General features: G+C 38.3%; 2 annotated features.

Moving 5' to 3' along the window:
* Nucleotides 4,416-4,585: an enhancer, noted in NCBI's record as "experimental_28118 CRE fragment used in MPRA reporter constructs". NCBI's record gives its function as "activates a minimal promoter by MPRAs in K562 erythroleukemia cells, with activity observed for the non-introgressed 12:30691457 or rs140383347 variant allele {active_cell/tissue: K562}" and the evidence as "EXISTENCE:reporter gene assay evidence [ECO:0000049][PMID:34662402]".
* Nucleotide 4,500: a transcriptional cis regulatory region, noted in NCBI's record as "Neanderthal adaptively introgressed variant 12:30691457 (GRCh37/hg19 assembly coordinates) or rs140383347 in the experimental_28118 CRE". NCBI's record gives its function as "modulates activity of the experimental_28118 enhancer by MPRAs in K562 erythroleukemia cells {active_cell/tissue: K562}" and the evidence as "EXISTENCE:reporter gene assay evidence [ECO:0000049][PMID:34662402]".

Genomic DNA, 8,865 nt, shown 5'->3' with positions numbered 1-8,865 from the left:
CTTCCAAATTCATTATATGAAGCCAGCATCACCCTAATACCAAAACCAGGAAAGGACATAACCAAAAACGAAAACTACAGGCTGATATCCCTGATGAACATAGCACTGTTAGCGGGGCATGAGGGGACCGAGACTGGCCTTGCCAACTGCATGGGAGCTGGGTGAGGCCTGTCACTACCTTCTCTAAATCTTGAAACAAACCCCAAACCTCGTAGAAGAAAAGAAATAACAGATCAGAGCAGAACCAAATGAAATTGAAACAATACAAAAGATAAACAAAAAGCTAATTATTTGAAAATATAAACAAAATTGATAGACCATTAGTGAGATTAACCAAAAGGAGAAGAGAGAAGATCCAAATAAACTCAATTGGAAATGAAATGGTAGATATTACAACCAATACCACAGAAATACAAAAGATTATTCAAAGTTACTATGAACATCTTTATGTGCACATACTAGAAAATCTAGAGAAGATAAATAAATTCCAGGAAATATACAACCCTCCTAGATTAAATCAGGAAGAACTAGAAATTCTGAAAAGACCAATAACAAGTAGCAAGATTGAAACAGCAATAAAAAAATTGTCAACAAAAATGTGTCCAAGATCAGATGGATTCACAGCTGAATTCTATGAGGCATTCAAAGAAGAATTGGTGCCAATCTTACTGAAACTATTCCAAAAGATAGAGAAAGAGGAAATCCTCCCTAAATCATTCTAGAAAGCCAGTATCACCCTAATACCAAAACCAGGAAAGGACATAACAAAAAAAGAAAACTACAGACCAATATCCCCGATGAACATAGATGCAAAAATCCTCAATAAAATACTAGCTAATTGAATCCAACAGCATATCAAAAAGATAATCCACCATGATCAAGGAGGTATCATACCAGGGATGCAGGGATGGTTTAACATATGCAAGTCAACAAATGTGATATTTTGTATAAACAGAATTAAAAACAAAAATCGTATGACCATCTCAATAGACACAGAACAAGCATTTTACACAATCCAGCGTCCCTTTATGATTAAACCCTCAGCAAAATCGGCATAGAAGAGACATATCTTAGGGCAATAAAAGCCATCTATGACAAACCCACAGCCAACGTTATACTAAAGGGGGAAAAGTTGAAAGCATTTCCCCTGAGAACTGGAACAAGACAAGGATGCTCACTTTCACCACTGCTATTCAACATTTTATGTCCCAGCAATCAGACAAGAAAAAGAAATAAATGGCATCCAAATTAGTAAAGAGGAAGTCAGATTGTCGCTGTTCACCAATGATATTACTGTGTACCTAGAAAACCCTAAACACTTATTCAAAAAGCTCTTAAATCTGATAAATGAATTCAGTAAAGTTTCAGGATATGAAATCAATGTACACAAATAAGTAGCCCTGCTATACACCAACAATGACTAAGCTGAGAATCAAATAAAAAACTCAACCCCTTTTACAACTGCTGCAAAAACAAAACAAAAAACAAAGAAACAAAAAAACATAGGGATATGTCTAACCAAGGAGTTGAAAGACCTCTGCGAGGAAAACTACAAAACACTACTGAAAGAAATCATAGATGACACAAACAAATGGAAACATATCCCATGCTCATGGATGGGTAGAATCAATTTTATGAAAGTGGCCATACTGCCAAAAGCAATCTACAGATACAATGTCATTTCCATCAAAACACCATCATGATTCTTCACAGAACTAGAAAAAAACAATCCTAAAATTCATAAAGAACCAAAAAAGAGCCCGCATAACCAAAGTGAGACTGAGCAAAAAGAACAAATCTGGAGGCATCACATTATCTGATGTTAAACTATACTACAAGACTATGTTACCAAAACAGCATGGCACTGTTATAAAAATAGGCATGTAGATCAATGGAACAGAATAGAAAGCCTAGAAATAAAGCCAAATGTTTACAGCCAACTGATCTTCAACAAAGCAAACAAAAACATAAAGTGGGGAAGGGACACCCTATTCAACAAATGGTGTGGGGATAATTGGCAAGCCATATGTAGAAGAATGAAGCTGGATCCTCATCTCTCACCTTATACAAAAATCAACTCAAGATGGATCAAAGACTTAAATCTGAGACCTGAAACCATAAAACTCCTAGAAGATAACATCATAAAAACTCTTGTAGACATTGGCTTAGGCAAAGAGTTCATGACCAAGAACCCAAAAGCAAATGCAACAAAAACAAACATAAATAGATGGGACCTAATTAAACTATAAAGCTTCTGCACAGCAAAATAAATAATCAACAGAGTAAACAGACCACCCACAGAGTGGGAGGAAATATTAGGAAACCATGCATCCAACAAAAAACTAATATCCAGAATCTACAAGGAATTCAAGCAAACCAGCCAGAAAAAACAAATAATCCTATCAAAAAGTGGGCAAAGCATAAGAATAGACAATTCTTAAAAGAAGATATACAAGGCCAGGTGTGGTGGCTCAAGCCTGTAATCCCAGCACTTTGGGAGGCCGAGGTGAGCGGATCACGAGGTCAGGAGATCGAGACCATCCTGGCTAACACGGTGAAACCATGTTAAAAATTACTACTGTATAGAAATTTTAGTAGAAAAATTGTATAGAAATTTTACTACTGTATAGAAATTTTTTTAGTAGAAAAATTGTATTTTTCTACTAAAAATACAAAAAATTACCTGGGCGTGGTGGCAGGCACCTATAGTCCCAGCTACTCGGGAGGCTGAGGCAGGAGAATGGTGTCAACCTGGGAGGCAGAGCTTGTAGTGAGCCGAGATTGCTCCACTGCACTCCAGACTGGGCGAAAGTGCAAGACTGTGTCTCAAAAAAAAAAAAAAACAAACAAAAAAAAAAACAAAGAAGATATATAAATGGCCAACAAACTTATGAAAAAATGCCTAACATTATTAATTATCAGGGAAATTCAAATTCAAACCACAATGTACTACCACATTATTCCTGCAAGAATGCCCATAATTAAAAACAAAACAAAACAAAACAGATGTTGGCATGGATATGGTGAAAAGGGAACACTTTTACACTGCTGGTGGGAATGTAAACCAGTAAACCACTATGAAAACAGTATGGAGATTCCTTAAAGAACTAAAAGTAGAAGTACCATTTGATGCAGCAATTCTATTATTGGTTATCTACCCAGAGGAAAAGAAGTTATTACAGGTAAAAGACGCTTGCACATTCATGTTTATAGCAGCACAATTTGCAGCTGCAAAAATATGGAACCAGCCTAAATGCCCATCAGCTAGTGAGTGGATAAAGAAAATGTGGATATATACACAATGGAATACTACTTGGCCATAAAAAAGAATGAAATAGTGCCATTTGCAGCAGCCTGGATGGAGTTGGAGACCATTATTCTAAGTGAAGTAACTCAGGAATAGAAAACCAAATATCATATGTTCTCACTTATAAATGGGAGCTAAGCTATGAGAATGCAAAGGCATAAGAATGATACAATGGACTTTGGGAACTCAGGGTGAAGTGTGGGAGAGGGTGAGGGACAAAAGACTACACATTGTGTACAGTGTGCCATGCTCAGGTGATGGGTGCACCAATATCTCAGAAATCACCACGAAAGAATTTTCCATACAACCAAACACCACCTGTTCCCCCAAAACGATTGAAATAAAAAAAGAGATAAAAAAACCCCAACCCCACAATGAGATATCACCTCACAGATGTAAGGAAGGCTTTTTCAAAAAGTCAGAAGATTAGTGTTGGTGAGGGTGTGGAGAAAAGAGAACCTTTGTACATTGTTGGTGGGAATGTAAGTTGGTACGGCAATTATGGAAAATAGTATGAAGATTTCTCAAAAAATTAAAATAGAACTACCATATGATTCAGCAGTCCCACTTTTGGGTATGTATCAAAAGGAAAAGAAACCCCATCGTGAAGAGATATCTGCAATTTAATGTTTATTGCAGCATTATTAAAAACAGTCAAGATATGGAAACAACCTAAGTGTCTTTTTTTAATTAAAAAATTTTTATTTAGAGACAGGGTCTTGTTTTGTCACCCAGGCTAGAGTGCAGTGGCATGATCATAGCTCACTGCAGCCTTGAACTCCTGGACTTATGCTAACCTCCCACCTTGCCCTTGCAAAATGCTGCGATTACAGACACCCAGCCGATAAGTGCCCTTTGATAGATAAAAGAATAAACAAAATATTGTATATACATGCATTTTATTTTATTTATTATTATATATTTTCTGAGGCAGAGTCTCACTTTGTTACCCAGGCTGGAGTGGAGTGGCACGATCTCAGCTCACTGCAACCTCTGCCTCCTGGGTTCAAGCAATTCTCCCGCCTCAACCTCCCTAGTAGCTGGGATTACAGGCGTGCACCACCACACCTGGTTAATTTCTTGTATTTTCAGCAGAGACAGGGTTTCACCATGCTAGCCAGGCTGGTCTTGAACTCCTGACCTCCTGATCTGCCCGCCTCAGACTCCCAAAGTGCTGGAATTACAGGCGTGAGCCACCGCACCCAGCCTAATCCTGCCATCTGTGACAACATGGATGAACCTGGAGGACATTATGTTGAATGAAATAAACCAAACAAATAAAGATAAATGCTGCCTGATACATGTGGAATCTAAAAAAGTTGAGCTCATAGATGCAGAGTAGAATGGTGGTTACCAGGAGCTGGGAGGTGGAGAAAGTAGGGAGAGGGTATGTTGCAGTTAGACAGTGTAAATCTGTTCTAGAGATCTGATGTACAATATGGTGACTATAGTTAAGATTAATGTACAGTCATGCACTGCGTAACAACATTTTAGTCAACAACGGACCAGATATATGATGGCAGTTCTCATAGGATTATAAGGGAACTGAAAATTTCCCATCACCTAGTGACCTTGTAGCTATCCTAATGTCATAGACAACACATCACTCATGTGTTTGAGATGATGCTGGTGTAAACAAAGCTGCTGCACTGCTGGTTACATGAAAGTATAGCACATACACAGCATAATATTTGATGATGATAATAAATGACAAGGTTACTGGTTTATATATTTATTATACTTTTTATTATTTTGGAGTGTTCTCCTTCTACATTAGAAAAACTTACTGTAAAACAGCCTCAGGCAGGTCCTTCAGGAGCTATTCCAGAAACAGGCATTGTTATCATAGGAGATGACAATTCCATGCATGTTATTGTCCCTGAAGACCTTCCAGTGGGACAGGATTTGGAGGTGGAAGACAGCAATATTGATGATCTTGACCCTGTGTATGTCTAGGCTAAGGTGTGTGTTTGTGTCTTAGTTTTTAACAAAATAGTTCCCAAAATTAAAAAAATTAAACAATAGAAAAAAGCTTATAAAATAAGGATATAAAGAAAGAAAATACTTTTGTACAGCTGTACAATATGTGTTTTAAGCTAAGTGTTATGACAAAAGAGTCAAAAAATTTTTAAAAATTTAAAAGTTAATAAAGTAAAATGTTACAGTAAGCTAAGGTTATTATTGAAGAAGAGAACATTAAATAAATAAATTTAGTGTAGCCTAAGTATACAGTGTTTGTAGCCTGCAGTAGTGTACAGTAATGGCCTAGGCCTCCACAGTGACTTACCACTCACTCGCTGAGTCACCCAGAGCAACTTTCAACCCTGCAAACTTCATTCATGTTACGTGCCCTGTACAGGTGTATCATTTTTTGTCTTGTTTACAGCATTTTCACTGTACCTTTTCTATGTTTAGCTATGTTTAGATACACAAATACTTACCATTGTGTTACAATTGCCTGTGGTATTAAGTCAGTAACATGCTATACAGGTTTGTTGCCTAGGAGCAATAGGCCATACTACATAGCCTAGGTGTGTCATAGGCTTCCCACCTAGATTTGTGTAAGTGCACTCCACGATGTTCGCACAACAATGAAATCTCTTAATGATGCATTTCCCAGAACATATTCCCATCATCAAGCGATGCATGAATGTATTATATACTTGAAATTTGCTAAGAGAGTAGATGTTAAGTGTTTTTACCACACACAAAAAGGTAACTGTGTGAGGTAATGGATATGTCAATTAGCTTGATTGCGGTAATCATTTCATGATGTGTACATGCATTAAATCATCATGTAGTATGCCTTAAATGTATACTTTTTTTATTTTGTCAATCATATCTCACTAAATCTGGAAAAAAATCCATATTCTCTTTTAAACCTGCACTGCATAATTCACCTGGGGAGGTTTTGTGTGTTTATGGGAGCTCATGCAGATTATGGGGAGGGCTTTTGTTTATTCTTTCCATACTTGAAAGATTTCCACAGCCTGCAGCTGCTAACACACTGAACTATTTGCTACTCAAAATAACCAAACTGTATTTCCCCACTCGGCAGGAAGCACTGACCCACCTCTCAATCCTACCTGTGTCCCAGGGTCCAGATCAATGGCACTTCCTGCGTATATTGTTCCTCTCATCGCCCCTGCCTCGGGTCTTTGGCATTTGCATGACTCTAGGCATTATTGCTTTCTAGTTTGGATAACAGATAATGATGTTCTGTCTCTGCACCAAGAGCACAATCAGGCTCACACTGCCTAAGCCAGAGAATGCATACCACTAAACAGATTATATTTAGCTTGGTCCACAAAATAAAATTATTTAATAAGTTGTAAACACTGAGAAATTTTACCAAAAAAAAAAAACACCAAACAACCCCTCTAGTCTTTTGGCTTCTCTTGGAAAACCAGAAGGTCTGGCATCAAGACTCAGACTCCTTTAATAGATACCGTGAACAGAAACCTACTCCCCATTAAATGAGGACTTACGCTCTTCATTTCACTTGAATTTCCACCGCAGGCATTTGAATGTGCCACTGCTTGTTTAGGCCGTGCTTGGCAGAAGATGCCCAAACTCATTGTTGAACGAAACACACAACCAACAAAGCAAGCATATCTTCTCACTTACCAAGTTGCCTTATTTATTTCTGGTACCTTCCCCATTCTTAAGGGCTTTAGTACAGCCTTAATAACAGTTGACAGCACTGTCTCTTTCAATCCTAATTTGATTCATTTGCGTAGCATGTCATGTTCTCACATGTTAAACTGAGAGCCTGCCCCTGCCACTAATTCATTTCTGGTCACTGTCCAGCAGGGATCAAGAGCAGCCAATTAACTTTCATAGTTGTTTTTAACCACATTTTTAGGGTTTCTTTCTCTGTTCATTAATTCACTTTTGAGGGGAAGTTTTGAGTCCATTCACGTGAGGCATTTTAAGTAGCTCTGATTTAGACAAGTGCCTCGTGATCCTGTCTACACTGCTGTGCTTCTGTCATCTTAACTTGTGGCGGGACAGTGTTACCCGCTAGCAGACAGACCAGGGTCAGTAAGCCACAGATCATGCCGTGTCCTGGAGCCACCTGAGACCACCACTTGCACCTACACCCAAAGTCAGGATAAAACCAGGTGCCCTGGAGAAGTCTACTTGAATTATTCCTCAATAGAAAATTAAGCCCTGTAGAAGCTGAGTGCAGCTCCTCACAGTGATCCAGACCACACTCATAGCTACTAGTTGAATACACCATAAGAACACTTACTTTATAAGCTTTTAGATTTCAAACTACACATTTTTACAGCTAAAATCATCTCATCAGATTTTCACCTTTACATTATAGCTGGTGGAACTGAATTAATATATGTAAACCACAGAGATTCAGCCATGATAAAATAATTTCACAACTTCATAGCATAGCTATGAGGACAAAGTAAGTGACCCAGCATAAATCTCACAGCAATACTTTCTTTTTCTTTTTCTTTTTTTTTTTTTGTTTGAGACGCAGTCTCGCTCTGTCGCCCAGGCTGGAGCGCAGTGGCGCCATCTCGGCTCGCTGCAAGCTCTGCCTCCCGGGTTCACACCATTCTCCTGACTCAGCCTCCTGAGTAGCTGGGACTATAGGCACCTGCCACCACGCCCGGCTAATTTTTTGTATTTTTAGTAGATACGGGGTTTCACTGTGTTAGCCAGGATGGTCTCGATCTCCTGACCTCGTGATCCACCCGCCTCAGCCTCCCAAAGTGCTGGGATTACAGGCTTGAGCCACCGTGCCCGGCCAGCAATACTTTCTTTAAGATGTTCTGAGTACAGACATTTTTCATAACTGTCTGCCAAATTGCTGCTGCTGAGTATTCAACCAGAAAAATGAAAAAGAAATGTAGTGATAATTAAATTAACAATTTCTCATAGACCTTTAGCATGTGAATAAATGTGTTAGAAATTCGCATCAGGTGCTGTGAAGATCCAAATGCCATCCTATCCTCCACCTGCTGTCATTGGCTCCAGCAGCGTGTCTACCATAAAGAGTTGCTTAAAACAACAGTCTGTGAATACCTTAGATTTCAAAAGCATCATTTTAACCAAACTCTGTGAATTGAAAGTAGTTTTCCTGAAAAGAAATATTAAAATCCATTCCCTCACATTGTAAGTTTTAGAAGTAAAATATGACAGTAAACAGTTTTTCCAAAGTGCAATGACTAACTTTTTAACTTTCCCCCACTTTTTTGCCACTTAAAATGAGCAAAGACATCATTTTTTTTTTTGGCCTAAAATATTTTACTCCCATTTCTGGATTTCTGAGCTGGATTTCAATTCCAAGTCCTAAAAGGTATCCCAAATGACCATGTGTTTCAAGAGCTAATCTTCTCTTTAACAACTTCGACCTCGAGAATAGCCTCATAACTCTGGCTTAATGGAAAGTGTTCTCAGTAACTGGCCTTCCCTTTCTCTAATGATTCTAAGTTTTGTTAACTTAAAAAAAATCACTCAATTATAAGTTTGGAAAAGAGAGAAGGAGACTTTACTTTTTATAAAGGGTTTTAGCCTACAAGGTGGCCATCCTGCAG

Source organism: Homo sapiens, chromosome 12 (assembly GCF_000001405.40).
Source record: "Homo sapiens chromosome 12, GRCh38.p14 Primary Assembly".
Classification (NCBI taxonomy): Eukaryota; Metazoa; Chordata; class Mammalia; order Primates; family Hominidae; genus Homo; species Homo sapiens.
Note: the sequence above shows the minus strand (reverse complement) of the source record. Positions and strands in the feature narration are given on the sequence as shown.